The sequence below is a fragment of the Homo sapiens genome, chromosome 15 (assembly GCF_000001405.40).
Source record: "Homo sapiens chromosome 15, GRCh38.p14 Primary Assembly".
NCBI lineage: Eukaryota > Metazoa > Chordata > Mammalia > Primates > Hominidae > Homo > Homo sapiens.
The window spans coordinates 66,674,696-66,693,751 of record NC_000015.10 but is presented as its reverse complement, the minus strand read 5'-3'; the positions used below and the strand labels follow the sequence as shown (position 1 = coordinate 66,693,751).

At 47.5% G+C, this 19,056-nt stretch overlaps 1 long non-coding RNA gene across 1 annotated transcript in view, besides 2 other annotated features; it reads right to left on the bottom strand.

Moving 5' to 3' along the window:
• Positions 1 to 7,953: 7,953 nt before the first annotated feature.
• The window catches only part of LINC01169 (long intergenic non-protein coding RNA 1169), a 103,609-nt gene continuing 92,506 nt past the window's right edge, over positions 7,954 to 19,056 (bottom strand). The window contains exons 4-5 of the long non-coding RNA NR_110372.1: positions 9,710 to 9,753; positions 7,954 to 8,482 (exon numbers count right to left, since the gene is read on the bottom strand). This is a non-coding gene — a long non-coding RNA (long intergenic non-protein coding RNA 1169). The remainder of the gene's footprint in view (positions 8,483 to 9,709; positions 9,754 to 19,056) is intronic.
• Positions 13,727 to 14,021: an enhancer, noted in NCBI's record as "tiled region #4382; K562 Activating DNase matched - State 5:Enh". NCBI's record gives its function as "activates a minimal TATA promoter and a strong SV40 promoter by Sharpr-MPRA in K562 cells {active_cell/tissue: K562}" and the evidence as "EXISTENCE:reporter gene assay evidence [ECO:0000049][PMID:27701403]".
• Positions 15,818 to 16,318: an enhancer, noted in NCBI's record as "H3K27ac hESC enhancer chr15:66969772-66970272 (GRCh37/hg19 assembly coordinates)". NCBI's record gives its function as "activates a minimal SCP1, AML or CMV promoter by ChIP-STARR-seq in primed H9 embryonic stem cells {active_cell/tissue: H9 hESC(primed)}" and the evidence as "EXISTENCE:reporter gene assay evidence [ECO:0000049][PMID:30033119]".

Sequence of the window (19,056 nt, the reverse complement as noted above, 5' to 3'; positions counted from 1 at the left end):
TCTGGGGAAGGAAACCAGAAGGCTAGAAAGCTGGGTGAATAAACTCTTCAACCCATACCCATCTGGTTTTTTGTTTGCTTGGTTATTTTTATTCTAATAAATAGGTAATACTTGAGCTTGGTACAAAATATAAGCAGTACCAAAGATTCAGTACAAAAGAGGCCTCTCTCTCTCTCTCCTGCCCTCAGCCTTCTTTGTGTATATCCTACAGTACCTCCTGAATTTTTGCACCATGAGCTGAATTATCCATTCAAAAACTATTATATCAGGGCCAGGTACAGTGGTAATCCCTGCTACTCGGGAGGCTGAGGCATGAGGATTGCTTAAAGCCAGGAGTTTGAGGCCAAAATGTGCTCTGATCATGCCTGTGAATAACCACTGCACTCCAGCCTGGCAACATAGTGAGATCCTGTCTCACACACACACACGCACACACACTCAAGTATTTTAAAATAATAAATATATTATTAAAATAGTAAATATTTGTTGAAGGAAGGAAGAAATCAACAAAAGAATTGTTGATTAAATCATTAAGTACATGAAACAGTTCAGTAACCTGCAAAGCAGAACACTGACTAAATGACAAATGAAACGACAAAAACAAGAAGAGATCTAAGTAAGAACTGCCGACAGTCAGAGCGTGCATCCTGTCTTGTCTTGCTTTTAGTTTCCTGTGTGTACATCTCCTCTTCCTAGGCAGACCAGGACAGGCTTTATGCTCTTATTTACTTCCCAGAGTGAGGCGTACAGAAAGTGTGTAATAAACATTCCTTGCTTAATTCCTACTAGCCTGAGCCATGCTCTGGAAGGGGCTGAAGGACACAGTCACCAGTGCCCTCCAGGGTATTATGACTTTCATGGGCCTTAGACACTGCCTTCACAGGCCCCTTCTCCCATACCATTTTTTAAAAGTATATTTTACAAGTGTATTGGCATCAAGACAAATGAAATCCAGGCTGGATTTGTTGTTATATATTTATTATTACAATTATTATTATTGCTTTAAAGAAAATTGAAATTGAAACATTTTGTAGGCCCCCTGAAATATCATGGGCCCTAGGCCCTGGACTTGCTGTACCTAATGGATAAGTCAGCCCTGGGCCTGTACCTCGGGCATGACTGCTATTCAGTAAACAGGCACTGCTTCTAGGAGCAACCTGGCTCAGGGAAAGACACATTGGCTTTGGAGCCGTGAAGACCTGGATTTGATCCCAGCTCCAGCACTTACCCACTAGACCACTGTAAAGCAATCACTAAGGCTTCTTGAGCTCAGTGTCCTCCCTGCTAAAACACAGGGCTGCCCTGAGGATTGGAAATAATGTATGATGCTTAATAAACGCCCATTACTACTGGTTGATTTGTCCCCAAAATGGAAGGGGTGCACTGGAGGTGGGCCAGGTACATGGTTGGCATTGAGAACACTGACCACAGCCAGGAGTCCCAGCCCCTTCAGAGGGAGAGGCGGAAGGTAGTGGTGGGAGGTGCATTCGCTTGACATTCTCTTAGTGTAAGTCTGGAGCAGATAAGGAAAGATTAAAATCCAGAATCAAGTCTCTGCTCAGCGGGTCTCAGCTTTGGCTGTGTATTAGAGTCACCTGGGAGTTTTAAAAAACCGCTAAAGCCCAATCCCCACCCCAAACCAATTTAATCAGAATATTTGGTGTGGGGCCCAAGTGTGTTGGTTATTTTTGCTTTTTTAGCTCCCTGAGGTGATTCTAGTATGGGGCAGGGCCCAAGATCTCCATGGCTATACCTGTGGATGGAAGGGGTCAGCTGGGGAGTGATCTGTCTTGTCTAGCAAACAACTTCTCACCTCAACAACTTCTAAGACTGTGAATTCTTGCTGGCTGCCTGGGTGGATTGAAAGTGGGAAAACATCAGTTGTAGGAGGCCCTTACAGGACCCTGTACCCAACAAAGTGTTCTTTTCTCAAAGACAGCTTCCCAAATTGTAGCTTCAGGCTGCATCCAGCCTGGATCCACCCCTGCAGGTGCTGCTTTCAACCCAAAACCTTTCTGGGCCCCCAGATAAAAGGGACCAGAGCATGCCCCACCCCCCCACCAACAGGGGAGTAACTAAGAAGACACAGGACTTATCCCAGGAAGCACTGGGTGGTTTCTGCAAGGGTGGACCGCAGGCCCCTCTACCTGAAGGCCTGGGTGTAGCTAACCTGTAGACTCCTAGGCCATCCCAGGCCCACCGAATCAGCATCTCTGGGTTAGGCCAGAGGCTGCATTTTTTACCCTCTCCTGAAGGGATTCTTACACACAGTAACATTTTTTTTTTTCTATTTGCTTACTTGGGCCTTTATTATGTATTTTCTTAAACTTTTTTTTGTTGTTGTTTATACTTTAAGTTCTAGGGTACATGTGCACAACATGCAGGTTTGTTACATATGTATACATGTGCCATGTTGGTGTGCTGCACCCATTAACTCATCATTTACGTTAGGTATATCTCCTAATGCTATCCCTCCTCCTCCCCTGACCCCACGACAGGCCCCGGTGTGTGATGTTCCCTTTCCTGTGTCCAAGTGTTCTCATTGTTCAATTCCCACCTAGGAGAACATGCAGTGTTTGGTTTTTTGTCCTGCGATAGTTTGCTGCTGAGAATGATGGTTTCCAGCTTCACCCATGTCCCTACAAAAGACATGAACTCATCCTTTTTTATGGCTGTATAGTATTCCATGGTGTATTTGTGCCACATTTTCTTAATCCAGTCTATCACTGATGGACACTTGGGTTGGTTCCAAGTCTTTGCTATTGTGAATAGTGCCGCAGTAAACATACGTGTGCATGTGTCTTTATAGCAGCGTGATTTATAATCCTTTGGGTATATACCCAGTAATGGGATGGCTGGGTCAAATGGTATTTCTAGTTCTGGATCCTTGAGGAATCGCCACACTGTCTTCCACGGTGGTTGAACTAGTTTACAGTCCCACCAACAGTGTAAAAGTATTCCTATTTCTCCACATCCTCTACACACAGTAACATTTTTGAGTTAGGAAAGGATGTACATTTCGATCTGGAAAAAGGTTAAATGGTATATACATACGTAAAAAATCATCAAGGTTTACACTTAAGATGTATGCTTTACACACCTGACTCAAAAGACAAAAGAGAATCTACCTACCATGAGTCTGCAGCTTTGGGAAGGAGAATCAGGGGAGGCTGCCTGGAAGAGGGGCTCTTTGAGCTGGGCCTAGATGGGCAGAAAAGCAGGCAGCAGAACAGAGGGAGTTGGGAGGTCCAAGAAGAAGAGACTCTTGTAGCAATAGCAGTGGAGAAAGGGGGTGGAAATGGAGGGAGAGTTGGTTCTAAGGCCTTGTCAGGCAGCTGCCTCATCCCTACCCAGGAGCAGGGTGTCCTCAGAGGACCAGGGCCTGTGTGGTCAGCAAAGGTAGCCTATGTAAACTCCCAACTTGCCTGCAAGTGCATCCAGGTCATTCTCCCCAACAAGACAGCATTGTTTGGGGTTCCAATGCAGGGCAAGAGAAACAGAGAGCCCAATTGTCCCTGTCATCATGGGTATATAATTTATAATAATGTCAGCTATTAAAGGATTTTTAGTAATTAACTGACAGTGGTGTGCTATTTCACTGCATTTTTGCCTGCCATAATGATCTTGAACTTTGCAAGGCAGTTTTGAACTTGCTCAAAATAAGCCCTGAATACAAAGAAGGGTGAGATAATTCCAAATGAGGGGTAAGAGGGGTTAGACAAAACAGGGCTGTCCTCCTCCCAGGAAGAGGGATGCACTGTGCAGAGCCAGGGAGGCTGAGGCCCCCTGTCTTTCCAGGGAGCTACCCACCCAGTAAAGTGCCTGCCAGGCCAGAGTGGTCAGTAAAGCAAGTCAGCCGTTTCATGATAATGTGATAAGTTGCATATTTTCAATGCACCTTGTTTGTATGTTACACAGCTAGGAATATTTTTCCCTTCCCCAAAGAAATAGGCTTCCTTTTTTGCTTTTCCTGAAATATATGACTCTCTTGGTATATCTTTTGCTCTTTTGATTTTTAACAGAGACATAAGAATAGGAAATAATTCTTTCTCCTTAGTTTCACTTAAAAAAAAAAAAAAGCCAACATAAGCCCAAAGATGAATCGTAACTGACACTGAGTACTAGAAATGTATTAAGCCAGCTGGGCGCAGTGGCTCACGCCTGTAATCCCAGCACTTTGGGAGACTGAGGTGGGCGGATCACGAGGTCAGGAGATCGAGACCATCCTGGCTAGCATGGTGAAACACCGTCACTACTAAAAAAAATACAAAAAATTAGCAGGGCGCGGTGGCAGGCGCCTGTAGTCCCAGTTACTCAGGAGGCTGAGGCAGAAGAATGGCGTGAACCTGGGAGGCGGAGCTTGCAGTGAGCCGAGATCGCGCCACTGCACTTCGGCCTGGCCGACACAGCGAGACTCTGTCTCAAAGAAAAAAAAAAAAAGAAAAAGAAAGGTATTAAACCATGGTGGGGTCTGTGGCAACTTGGTGAGCTCAGACCCAGTGTTAGTGAAGCATCTGCTTCTCCACAATCAGAACTTCAGGCCCAAAGCAGAGACAACCTCAATTGACAACCTCAATTCTCCCCTTTCTTCTTAATAGCAGAATGATTATTCTTATTTAAATTATTTTTAACTGGGCAAATTTTGTCCTGGAAAAAAAAGACTACCCTGGCCTGAGCACAGTCACATGACTACCCCTACTCCCTCCCTTGCACTCAGTGTAGCCATGTGACTATTTCTGGCCAATAAGATGTAAATAGAAGCATCGTGTGAGACTTCTGGAAAGACTGCATAAAGGCTGCTGAGTCAGCCGAGAAGCACCTTTTTTTTGACTTCAACCTTTCCTTCTTTGGCCTAGGTTATAGATGTGATGGCTGGAGCCCTGGAAGTCATCATGGAACATGAAGCAACCTTTGCAGAGAAAAGTCATACACTGGACCAGGCACGGTGGCTCACGCCTGTAATCCCAGCACTTTGGGAGGCCAAGGCGGGTGGATTACCTGAGATCAGGAGTTCGAGACCATCCTAGGCAACATGGCGAAACCCCATCTCGACTAAAAATGCAAAAATTAGCTGGGTGTGGTGGCACATGCCTGTAATCCCAGCTACTCAGGAGGCTGAGACAGGAGAATTGCTTGAACCCGGGAGGTGGAGGTTGCAGTGAGCCGAGATCATGCCTGGGTGACACAGTGAGACTCCATCTCAAAAAAAAAAAAAAAAAAGGAAGCCATACGCTGAGGATGGAAGAACAGAAAGAGAGAGGAGCATAAGTCCCTGATGGCTTTTTGAGTCTCCCATGCCAGGCCTGAGCTGTCTATTAATCTTCTGAAATCTTCTGACTTCTTTTATATGAGAAAGAAGCATCCATCTCATTTAAGCTATTGCTATTTTGAGTTTTTCTGTTATAATTGGCCCAACTTAATCCATGTCAAAGTAACTGGGCTCACTGCAATGGACTGAATGTTTGTGTCCCTGCAAAACTCACATGCTGAAACCTAATCACCAATGTGATGATATTAGGAGGTGGGGCATTGGGAGGTGATTAGGACACGAGGGTAGAGCCCTCTTGAATGGGATTAGTGACCTTATAAAGGAAGCTCCAGAGACCTCCCTCCACCTTCTGTCAAGTAAGGACACAGCAAAAAGACAGCCATCTGTGAACCAGGAAGGACCTCACCAGACACTGAATCTGCTAGTGCCTTGATCTTGGACTTCCCAGATCTGTGAGAAATAAATTTCTGCTGTTTATAAACCACCTCGTCTATGGTATTTTATTATAGCAACCTGAATGGACTAAGATACTCACTGTCACCTAATAGTCCAAATTTCAAACCTAGTCAGGTATACAGATTTGAATGTGACATACTATGATGTCATAAATGTTAGAAACCACATAAAAATATTTAAAATACTGACCAGGCCAAACAAACCATGTCTGTGAGCTGCATTCAGCCCAAGTGGCCCTCTGGCCTATACCACGAATGGTGGTGATTAGGCCTGTTATAAACAGCCAGCCCTGGGTCTGGCGTGGTGGCTCACACCTGTAATCCCAGCACTTTGGGAGGCCGAGGCAGGTGGATCACGAGGTCAGGAGATCAAGACCACCCTTGAAAGCCCGTCTCTACTAATAATACAAAAATTAGCCAGGCGTGGTGGCAGGCGCCTGTAGTCCCAGCTACTCAGGAGGCAGAGGCAGGAGAATGGCGTGAACCCGGGAGGCGGAGCTTCCAGTGAGCAGAGACCGCACCACTGCGCTCCAGCCTGGGCGACAGAGCGAGAGTCCATCTGAAACAAACAAACAAACAAAACACAAAAAGCAAACAAACAAACAAAAAACAGCCAGTCCTTCCCCGGGCGCGGTGGCTCACGCCTGTAATCCCAGCACTTTGGGAGGCCAAGGTGGGCAGATCACGAGTCAAGACATTGAGACCATCCTGGCCAACATGGTGAAACCCTGTCTCTACTAAAAATACAAAAACTAGCTGGGCATGGTGGTGCACACCTGTACTCCCAGCTACTCGGGAGGCCGAGGCAGGAGAATCACTTGAACTCGGGAGGTGGAGGTTGTAGTGAGCCGAGATCGCACCACCGTACTCCAGCCTGGCAACAGAGTGAGACTCCATCTCAAAAAATAATAATAATAATAAAGAAAACAGCCAGTCCTGTCATTTCTGTAAGGACTGTACTTCTCCATCCACTTGAACTTTTCTCCATCCACTTGAAGTGTGACCATATAACTTGTTTTGACCAATGAAATATGAGCAGAAAGGATGAGCAGAAGGGATGTAAGACATTTCTGGGCAGAAATTTCAGAACCAGTGTGGGGTTTGTCACATCCTCTTTTTTCTGCCGCTGCCATTATAAAAGTATGTCAACGTGGAGCTTCCTTCAGCTGGATCTTCGAGTAACTTGGAAGAACAGAACACCCTGGTAACCTGCCTTATAGTGCATAAACAAGAAATAAACATGTTTGTTGGAAATCCGCTGGGACTGGAGTTTGTTACCACAGCATTACCTAGCTTATCCTGACTGACCTGTCATCTTGCATCCTGGGTATTGATCACTGGAATTGTACAAAACCCTCCTTCGGGTTTTTTTCTGTGGGTGAAATTTCCCTCTCTTTCTAGCCCTCCTACTCATTCTTTTTTCCATGTATTATTTCACTCTTTCACACATTCATATGTCAGAGGCATGCGAGGAGCCTTCTAGATGGCAAGTCAAGCCCCTGCTCTCAGGGAGCTCACATGCCTCCTCTGATTGGATGGTCTTCCCTTATGGATCCTTGTGGACCCTTCCCAGCCCCCCTCAACCACCCAGCCATGAATGGGGGAAGAGGGGGTGGAGTGGAGTCCTTTGAGGACAGCCTCTTAGGACCAGGATTTGTGTCAGGGTTGGGTTTTTTTGTTTTTTAATTTAATTCAAACCTTACCACTTCTAGTGAGTAAACCAATGCTCAGAGAGGTTAACTAACTTGCCCAATGTTACACAGTTAGGAAGAAGTAGCCCTGGACTTGAAGCCAGTTCTGACAACTTGCCAGGCCTTTGCCCCCTGACTACCCTATACTACCTGCCTCTACAGAAGCCTCTCGACTGGGGTCGGTACCATCCTCAAACACCATTGGTAGCTCTGAGGCAGCACAGCGGGTAAATGCACAGGCTCTGGAGCCAGACTGCCTGGGGTCAAAGCCCAGCTCTGCCCTCTCATACCTGTATTACTGTAGGCAAATTAACCTCGGTTTCCTCATCTGTAAAATGGAGATAATACTTGAGTCTCTTTGAGCCAATATAAATAAGGTGCTTAGAATGGTACCTGGCACACAGTATACGTCCACTGAATTTTAGCTATTAACACTATTATTATCTTTATGCCTCATAAATGGATGATTTTGTCAGATTTCCTGCCCCGCTGACCTCTAGTGGAGAGAAGGATATTGAAAGAATGGGACGCTATATGGTTATGCTTTGAAAATATTAGTCATTATCTCATGTGAAACTCACAATAAATTTGTTCAGGTAATTAGTGTAAGAGCCTCCTTTACAGGTTAAAAAAAAAAAAAAAGAATCTCAGAGGCTAGTTTCCTGCCCCACATCTAAGAAGGGATAGTAGAGAGACTCAGAGCCAGATCTGTCTGTCTGCAGCTCTGGAGGGGTTTCCATGACATGACTTAGATGGAGAAGAGTCCAGCGGTGTAGGGAGCATGCTAGGCCAGGGAAGCCCACAGAAGAGGGTGAAGCACAGAAGACTATGGGTGCAGTCATTTGATGATGGCCACCTTTTGGGACTCCATTGTGGGCAAGGCAGGCATGGTAAATCCATCATACCAGCTGCTGATGCCAAGCGACTTTCTCTGGTGAGCCAAGTGTGACCCCTGTGACAGCAGCTTCCTCTCCTATTTCCATCTGGCTCTCTCTGAAGACCCCAAATCATGGCCAACCTTCCCTGGGCTCACTCTGACGCCTGGATATAGGCAAGTCCTGCAAAACCTGGATGGGGGAAGATACAACAGTACTGAAGCTGGGGAGTCCATGCTGAAAAATAGGGGCCTACTCACCTGACCCACGTGGGGAGTCTGTGTTAATGATGCATGTCCAGATTGGGTGGGGCCCACTTTACCCTTTAGCTGATGGACAGGGAAATGAAGGCTCAGAACCTGGGTCTCTGTGAATGCACCACACCTCTCAGGGAGGTGGGTAATGGGAACCAGTCTCTTACCTTTGCTCTCTCTCCTGACCATCCCAGAGACTCAGATTAATGCCCCCACTATCTCCACTGCCTTTAGCTGGATTTCTCCTCAGTTTCTCCTAAGTTAAGGGAAGAACACCCCCATGACCTATTTCTGTCTGTTTATTTTCTCATAGATTGAAAAAGGATTTGAAATTCTCACTGAATCTGATGCAGTTAGTGCAAATCTGTGGTCAGCAGAAGAAACAGGAAGGCTTGACCTGCACTCAGTGGAAGCTAAGAGAGCTTGCACAGGGGCTTGAACATGGTAGATGGCAGCTGTGTCCATTAGAATGTTTTGGTGCCTTTGGGTAAAAAATTTAAAAAGAAGGCTTTGGGCTGCAAGTAACTGGAAATCCAACTGAAAGTGGTTCAAACAACAAGAATCTTTATTATTTCATTAAAAAAAAAACCTGGATGTAGGACAGGCTCTTAGAGAAGCTCCATGAAGTTATCAAGAACCTAATTCTTTCTGTCTATTTGTATTTCCATCCACAGTAGGTCAGTTTTGACTCCACTGGCTTCCCTCACAGTTGCAAAATGGCTGCTGCAGTTCCAGGCATCACATCAGACACCCTGAAGAACATCTCTCCTGCTGTCTTCTTCCTAAGAGTAAAAAACTTTTACCCAGAAACTCCCTACCAGCTTTCTCCTCAAATCTCATTTCCCAGAATAGGGTCATCAGCTGACACAGGCTAAAGGAATTTCATGTGTTAGGTGGCTAGGTATCTTCTGTGTGGCCCTCCCCTTCTCCACCCATTCTGACCTGCAAGGCTGATGTGTGGGCCACATCTACAGGCAACCTTGCTGTCTGTCTTCAGGGTGGACTTAGCTAATGAGGAATACCAAAGAAGTCCTTAAAGAATGGGAAGAGGGAGAGGTCAAAGTGTTTGTTCTCCTGGTGCCCTCCTTGCTGGGTTGCCATAAGTCTGCTGTATCTTTGACCAAAGGCCACAGCTTCCATCAGGCAGCACTCTCCATACTCTTACCTCCTCTGGTTCTGGTTCCTGCTCCCTCCCTTGCCTTCTCGGGCCTAGAAGAAGAAGCAAGCTCCCCATCATTGCCAGCCCCAGGATACTTCAACATCCCTTAATGCAATTCTCAAACCCTTCCCACACTCTTGCAAATAATCCTTTGCCCAGCTCCCTCAGTTACCCAGCCAGAAGGTGCTATCCTCTATCCTTCCTCAAACCTGATCAATACACGGGGCTGGGACAGAGCTCCCTTTGGAGTCTTGAATCACTGTTTCTTGGGCCTCTTCCCAGAAGGTCTCTTTGGCACTTAACCCTCAGTCCACCAAATAGCATGCATCTCCCTATCCCCCATCTTGACTTCCCCATCTCTGTCAATAGCACCTCCAACCACTCAGTATCCCAGGGTCAAAACCTGGGTGTCAACTTCCACTCTCCCACTGCCCTGTCCCCCATTCCACACAGAATAGGATCTATAGGTTCCACTTCTAACTCTCTCCACACTTCAACCCTCTACTCAATTTCAGGCCTCCAACACTGCTCATCTGCCTCATGACAGCAGCCTTCTAAATGATTCCCCTGCCTGCGATTCATGCCACTCCCTGCTGCTCAAGAAACTTCCTTAACCACAGCTCTGATCCTGATGTTATTCTCCTGCTCAAAAACCTGCCCCCATTCCAAATGCCTTAATCCATCATCAAAGCCCTCCATGTTTAGCCCCCTACCCAGTTTCCTGGTTTCAGTTCCTGCTACACGCATAACCCTCTGGCTATAAAGGTCAGCTATTTCTGGGTAAAATAATCACCCCCAAAACTCAGTGGCTTAAAACAACAACTTCTGTTATTGCCCAGTTCTGCTGATCAGGGCCAGGCTTGGCTCACTTACATGTCTGCAAGCAGCTGACAGCAGACTGGTCTAGGATGTCTCACTCACTTGCCTGGTGGTTGTCTGGGTGTTGGCTGGGTGAAAGGAAGTGAGTAGGCCATATGTCACTCATCATCCAGCAGACTAGCCTAGAGATGTATTCGTTATCTGTTGCTGTGTAACAAATTGGACAGCTAAAAACAATACACATTTATTTTCTCACAGTTTCTGTGGGTCAGGAATTCAAGTGCTGCTGAGTTGCATACTATGGCTTAGCCTCTCTCACAAGGCTACAGTCAAGGTATCAGATGGGGAGGGTCTGTTTCCAAGTTCACTTATGTGCCTTTGGTTGCTCTCAGGTCCTCACTGGCTGTTGGGGACAGACATCATTTCCTTGCCATTTGGGCTTCTCCATAGGGCAGCTCACAACATGGCAGTGGACCCCCTTGGCAAGGGAACAGTGACCCCCCTCAGCAAGGGAACAAAAAAGGGACCACAAGATGGATGTCACACAGCCTTTTAAAACCCAATATCAGAAGAGCCAACCCATCGCTTTAGCAATATTCTGTTGGTGAGAAGCGAGTCACTAGGTGCAGCCCATACTCAATGGGAGAGGATCACACAGGGCGTTCATGCCAGGAGCCATTTTCAAGGCTGCTGGTCACACTGGGCTTGATCTTAGGTGGTGGCAATGTTCCACCTAAGAACAGCAAGAGTGAATGCAAAAGTGTACAGTCTCCTGAGGCCCAAGCTTGGAATTTGCATATAGTTAGCCAAGGCAAGTCATAGGGCCAAACCCAGATTCAAGATGTGGAGAAATAGACTCTATCTCTTGATGGGAACAGTTACCAAGTTACATTGCAAAATAGGTACTGGCAGGCATGGAGAATTATGTCCATTTTTGCAAAGAACCACATGAGCTTTCCCAAGTGTTCCCCTGAAATGCCTGTGCTTTCAAGCCCACAGGCCTTTTTTTTTTTTCTTTTGAGACTGAGTCTCACACTGTCACCCAGGCTAGAGTGCAATGGCGTGATCTCGGCTCACTGCAACCTCCACCTCCTGGGTTCAAGAGATTCTCCTGCCTCAGCCTCCTGAGTAGCTGGGATTACAGGCACCCGCCACCATGCCCAACTAATTTTTGTATTTTTAGTAGAGATGGGGTTTCACCATGTTGCCCAGGCTGGTCTCGAACTCCTGACCTCAGGTGATCCACCCGCCTTGGCCTCCCAAAATGCTGGGATTACAGGCATAAGCCTCTGCAACCGGCCATCCACAGGCCTTTGAAGGCTCAGTTTCCTCCTCCTGTGCTGTCCTGCCCCACCTTGGCCTGTGACCATTCTGCCAGTCTTCAAGGACCAATTCACACTCTGTATCACTTTTCTTTTTCTCCTGTAACAAATTACTATGAACTTAGTGGTTTCAAACAACACATATTTATTATCTTTCCTACAGTTCTGGGAGTCTGAAGTCCAAAATGGGTGTCATCAGGTTAAAATCAGAGCATTGGCAGGGCTTCATGCCTTTCAGGAGGCTCTAGGAGAGAATCCGTTTTCTTGCCTTGACCAGCTTCCATGGGCAGCCTGCATTCCTTGGCTTGTGGCCCCTTCCTCCAATTCAAAGATATGAATGGCTGGTAGAGCCTTTCTTGAAAACTCATATCACTCTGACACTGCCTCTTCTGCCTCTCTTTGCCACTTGTAAGGACTCTTGCAATTAGGCAGGGTCCCATCAGATAACCCAAGACAATTTCCCCCATCTCAAAGTCAGCTCATTAGCAACCTTAATTCCGCCTGCAACCTTAATTCCCCTTTGCCATGTAACCTAACACATCCACAGGTTCCAGGGATTAGGGCATGACATCTCTAGGGGGCCGTTACTCTGCCCACCACCCTACCTCACTCCCACCCCCTTACCCCCCTGTAAACAATAATGGCAGAAGCATTTATTGAGCACTTACTAGGTGCCTGCCATTGTGCCCAGAGCTTCTTCCCAGAAGGTCTCTTTGACCTTTGAATGATCTCATCCATTCCTCACAACCCTATGGAGAGGGTTTTTTTTAGCGTTCTCATTTTATGTATTCAAAGAAGTAACTCCCCAAGGTCACACAGTGAGTAAGGGCTGGATATAGGAATTTGAACTCGAGTCTGCCCAACTCTGAAGGCCAGAGTCCCAACCACTTGCTCATGCTGCCTGCTTTGAGGACACCCTGATCCCTTCTATTAGAAGTCACCCCTCCTCTGTGCTCCCATAACTGAGTAACTGGGCCTCTCTTTTAAGAGATACTCTTCTGAAGCTTCCATTTTTGACAGGCCACCTCCCCAGTGCCTCTGTCAAAGTAGTCATAGTACTTCTTTAATGAAAATCTCTTATGTACCAGATCTTTCACATACAACATCTCACACTCTCTGCTAAGGCAGGTGCTGTTTTCACTTTCCAGGTGAGAAAACTGAGACTCACAGAGTTCTGATTCTGCCACAGCAGCATTCATTAGTGTCAGTGCTGGGAGTAGCACACAGGTCTAATTCCAAAGCCAGCTAGGCCACCTCCTGCAGCTGCAAATGCCCACAGCCTTTGCACACAGAATAGAAATACATCACAAGCTTGCTTCAAGATGGTTGTGTAGCACATTGGTTACAGTGGGGATTCTGGAGCCATGCTGCTGGGGTTCAAATCCCAGCACTCCCATTTTCTGTTTGTGTGACTTTAGGCAAGCTACTTAGCCTATGTCTGACTCAATTTCCTCGTCTGGAAAATGAATGTAATGATAGCACCTACCTCATAAGGGCTGTTGCAAAGATTAAATGAGTTAATATACCTTAAGTGCCTCTGCAGTCATGCCACATGGTAAGTACTCAAAAGTGTTAGCTATGAATATGAGTTGGCCTGGTCAGCTGTGGGTCACTCAGGTCCCCTGCCCCAGTCTTGCTGGGCATTTCCCTTCTGGGAAACATTACCCCAGACTATGTGAATGGAAGGCTATCTGGAAGACCCACAAAGGTAAATGTTGAGAAAATACTTTGTAGAGTACTGCACCCATGTTGGCTATTAATGATCTAAAGTACTTGGTAATCAGGCTGGGAAACCTGAATCCCCCTGGAGGACCCAGTTCAGGCCTCCTCAGCATTGGCCCCAGGGAAACAGAGGACCGCAGCTGTCATATCGCCTCCTCCCCACCAATCTCCGCCACTCCCTCCCCCAATCCATCCTGGGGTGGCCAAGGCTGCAGGAATGTGATGGTATCTCCGCAAACAGACAGTCTGTTCCCAGAGGAGACAGGGCCGCCCCTGGGAGGCCCAACTCTCCCCAGACTCGGCTCCAGTAAACACCAGGCTCTGTCCTCTTTATCAGCTTTGCTCTGCAGCAGCGGAGCCAGTCTGCCTGCTGGGGAGTCGCTGCAGAGCGATAAGCCACTAGGCCCCTTGTTGGCCGCCCTCCTGGGGCCACAGCCCAGCTGCCTGGGAATAGGAATCTTCAGGCTGGCCTGGCTTGAGGCCTGAACAACCTCCAGGGGCTAGGGGGCTGAGAGTGAGGGGCTGGCTGCCTGTACCCCGAGGATGAAGGAAGCAAAGGCCCAGAGTTGTGTCAAGGGGCCAGGGGACACAGTCTTCATGGCCCCCAATTGCTCCTAAAAACTTGTGAATCTGTTAATTACATTGCTTTGCAAGATACCTTTATCATCATCATTATCTTTACATATTGATGATGCTTTTACTGCCAATGTTTTCAAGTCCTCGTTTTACTGGATAAATTAATGTATGTAAAGCACTTCCCACTGGGCCTGGCCAGGGCTCAGTTTAAGTTAGCTTGCAGTAGGAGCAGTGTCCTAGTGTCCTCGTCATCATCCTAGTGGTATGGCCAACCCCCAGTTTCTTATAAATAATAGTAGCTAATGTTTATGTGGGTCATGTCCATTACGGCTTCAGTTTCTCAACTCCCTGGAGGTGGGGAGTACTGGAGTGAGCATTGTCCCTATTTGACAGAGCAGGAAACTGAAGGGCCCAGAGAGATGAAGTGCTTTGCCCAAGGCTGTACAGCCAGGACATGGGACCAGCTGGGATCAGCCCCAAGTCCTCAAACTCAAAGTCTGATGCTTTCTTTCTTTCCTTTTTTTTTTTTTTTTTTTTCTCCTATTCTGGGTACTGTCTACTGTTGACCAACCAGTGAGGAGCCTGGAGTAAGTCACTGGTCCCTGTCTTGGGCCCTCTCTGGAGTCAGGGAGGGGACAGACAAGATCCTTCGTGTTAGAAATCTGCTGACAGCTTCTCCACAGCACCTTGGAAAACAACCAGTGACTTCTGTGAACCCACAGGATGAGCACTTGGCCGGGAGTCCAACAGCTCTGGGTTCTAGTCCCAACTCGGCTGCTCAGTCTGGTGACCTGGGGCTGAACAGTTACCCTGTCTGGGCTTGGTCCCAAGATCCTTATTTCCTCATGTTGTAAAATAAGTCACTTCCTCTGCCTTCGCCATCTCCGAGTTTGCTAGGTGAATTAAATGAAGCGATATATGGTAAAACCTCCTGGTGAAGAGCTCTGGAGTATAACCATCCTCTCCTCCTGAACAACTGACTTTCAAACGCTGACCATCATGGAGGGCCCAGCTCAGATGCTTCCCCTTCCAGGAAGCCCTCTCTGGTCTTCCAGCTGGGCACAACCACAGCCTCCTCAGAGCTGGCACACCTCTTCTGGGGCACCCTCTGCCTTGCATGGGGTCAAAATTCAGGGCTAATTTCTGGTGGCATCCCCCGATTCCAGAATAGAATCCAGCACACATTACGTGCTTAATAAAGCGAATGAGTGACAGAGCGAATGAATGAACTGCCAAAGGGAAAGAGCCTCTCTATCCCCCTTCTCTGTCTATAAGAAGGCTTAGAGAGCATGTCTCCTCCTCCTCTTTGGGCAGCTGGCATTGGGAAAGACCCCTGAGTGGCAGTTCTTCCTGAATACAACTTCCTTTCATTGCCACCTCCTACGCTTGGCTCCAGATCGTCAGGGGCTCCTGGGGGCCCCTGGGATTCTATCCTGACTCCCTGGCCTGGCCTTTGAAGCCCTTTCCAGCCAGGCCTCTTCTGTGGCCCCTGGTCCAGTGAGCACTCTCTGGTCCTGGGCCTTGCTCACATTCTCCAACGCTCAGAGAAACATGTCTGTTCTCACCAACCCTACAATCCAGCCACCACTGCAGGCTTTCCTTTGCCTCCTCCCTTCTAAATGCCCTCTACCCAGCCAGGTACTTTCCCCTAGCCAAGACACCCTCAAGTGGCCTTCGGTTCTCACAAATGGGTCCACCAGCACCTCCCCCAACCTCCAAATGTGTCCCCTGACTATTCCCTCCCTGGTATCAATAGGCTCTGGCAGAGGGAGGAGATGGGCACTGAGTTAGAATTTGGGGCATGCAGAATGGCCTCCAAAATGTCTCAGGTTTTCTCAGGCCACATCTTCTTCCCTGTGCCTGTTGGACTCTTTCTGCCTCCACCACTTCATCTGCATCAGATTCCACAGCAGACCCACATCACAGGTGCCCCTTCAGTCCACGGCTGCCACCTCAGACCTCCAGCCACCCCTCCAGAATAGAGAGGTATGTCTGTGGCCTTGCTACCATCTACCCCAAACACCCACCCTATTATCACCATAGCCACAAATACCTCCTGCATGCCTACTATGTGCCAGGTACTGTTGCAGGCACTAGAGACACAGCTGTGAACAAAGCAAACATTGTAGCATCCCTCATGGAGTTTTCATTCTAATGTAGGAAATGAGGAAAACAGATAATAAAACAAAATAAGTGAGTAAAACATATAGCATTTTAAGTTAGTTGAGTATAGGTAACTTTGCTCTCTTTGAAAATAAATGCAGTGGGGTATAGTGGCTCACATTTGTAATCCTAATTGCTTGAGTTCAGGAGTTTGAGACCAGCCTGGGCAACACAGCGAGACCTCTTCACTACAAAAAAAATTAAAAATTTAGCTGGGCATGGTGGCATGTGCCTGTGGTCCCAGTTACTAGGAAGGCTGAGGTGGAAGGATCACTTGAGCCTGGGAGGTCAAGACTACAGTGAGCCATGATCATGCCACTGCAGTCCAGCCTGAACAACAGAGCAAGACACTGTCAAAAAAAAAAAAAAAAAAAAAAAAAAAAAGGAAAAGAAATGCATTGACTATAATTGGCTATAAATATATAAATAAAGCAGGAGTGGGCTCAGGGAGTGCAGGATGAAGTTGCTATTTATTTATTCATTTAGAGACAGGGTCTCACTCTGTTGCCCAGGCTGGAGTAGAGTGGCACGATCACTGCTCACTGCAGCCTTGACCTCCTTGGGCTCCAGTGATCCTCCCACCTCAGCCTCCCAAGTAGCTGGGACCACAGGCACGCACCACCATGCCCAGCTGCTTTTTATATTTTTTGTAGAGATGGGGCTTCACCATGTTGCCCAGGCTGGTCTCAAACTCCTGGGCTCAAGTGATTCTCCTGCCTCGTCCTCCCAAAGTGCTGGGATTACAGCATGAGCCACAGCACCCAGCCTGAAAGTTGCTATTTAAATGAGGTGACCAAGTAGGCCTTGTGAGAAGGTGCCATTTGCTCAAAGAGTTAGAGGAGGCAAGAGTAGGCATTGAGGGTCCTGGGGGAAGAGCATTTCAAGCAGAGGGAAGAGCCGGTGCAAAGGCCCCTGTTTGAGTTGGTGTGTTCCCTTCTCTGTGCATTCACATTTGTCAGCCCTTTATTTGGCACTTGTCAGAGTTCAAGAGGGTTGAAGGAAGTTTTTCACTTGGCCTCCTATCCTGCTTCACCAGGAGCTCCTTGGGGCAGAGACCCTGTAATGGTCAACTTCATAGCCAACACACACCCCACCCAAACATGTCTAGACACACACAGAGACACACACACATCCTGGACTCACACACTCATGTCCAGACATACACACCCAGACTCGCACAAAGAGACCCTCACACTGTGGCCAATAGTGAAGGCCTCAGCTATTGTCTCCTGAGAGGGACTGAATGAAGAGTAAATAATAATTAAGTGTGCCCAGCTCCATCTAGTTTACAGAGGTCCCTCTTGTGTCTACTCTTGGAGCCTAAGAACTGGGTGGTGATTAAAGTGAGTCTCTGAGAGACCAAGGTGAACAGGCTGGTCATTGGTATGTGCAAAACTGGAAATTGGCTTTTCTGATTATGCTCCAATTTGTGTTCATTTTTTAAAAATAGGTCAGATGTGAACACAGAACAAATTTCAAAATGTCCTTAGAGGCAAGTGTCCCTCCCCACTCCACCCCAGCACCCGGCTCCCACCAGAGGGTCTGAGTGCACTCACCAATTTATTTCTCCTTTACCTAAATGAAGACCTAGGCTCTCTTCTCTCTTCAAAGAGATTCTGCTTTGCAAATACATTTGACAGAATGAAAACAGGCCAGGAGCCTCTGGTCTGGAAGCACATCCTCTTTGCTCCTAGTACCCAGGCTGTCTGGGGCCAGGCTTGGCATCCATTTGGTTTCTCCAAAACCACAAGCCTTTTGGATCCAGGACATGGCTGCTGCATGTCCCATGTAGAAGTCCCTGGGGAAGATCCACTGATCATGAGGAACCCACTGTCCTCAGAGGGAGGAGATAGGGACCAAGGAAGAAGGGGGAAGAAGCAGGAAGTGGTTTCAGAGGGGGAAACCGGGCACTTTAGAGGAAATCACACTTTCTGGAGTTTCTTTAAAATGAGGACCCTATTGAATTACTTCTATTTTCTTTTTTCTTTTTTTTCTTTTTTTTTTTTTTTGACACAGAGTCTGCTCTGTCGCCCAGGCTGGAGTGCAGTGGCATGATCTCGGCTCACTGCAACCCCCGCCTCCCAGGTTCAAGCAATTCTCCTGCCTCAGCCTCCCGAGTAGCTGGGATTACAGGCACCCACCACCACACCTGGCTAATTTTTGTATTTTTAGTAGAGACGGGGTTTCACCATGTTGGTCAGGCTAGTCTCGAACTCCTGACCTCATGATCCACCTGCCTCTGCCTCCCAAAGTGCTGGGATTACAGGTGTGAGCCACCACACCCAGCCTACTCTTATTTTCTTCCTCGGCACTTTTACAGCTGACAGACTGCAAGTTCCCCATGAAAAGAATGGGGCATTAATTGGCAGATGACCACCCCCTCCACATCCCAGAACAGTACCCCAAACACACTCAGCTACAACTGTGTGGTGTAATGAGTGCCTTCCCTGCCCCAGGAGCAGATCAAGAGTTGCCATGGGCCTGCTGCCAGGTGCTTACGGTCTAGGGGAGGGGCACGCAAACACAATAAATTCCCCGTGGGCAGGCTAGGGAGCCTTGGGGGACCAAAGAATGGGTGCTCCCCTCAAGTGAGTAAAAGAGAGAGAAGAAAGGATATACAAGACCCCAGGCAGAGGGGTCAACATATGCAAAGAGCTGGGGATGCTTAAGAAATGTTAAGGGGGACTTTAGTCTTGGGTGGCAGAGACCAAACAGAAGGTTCAGCACAGGTCAGGTGTGAAGGGCCTGGAT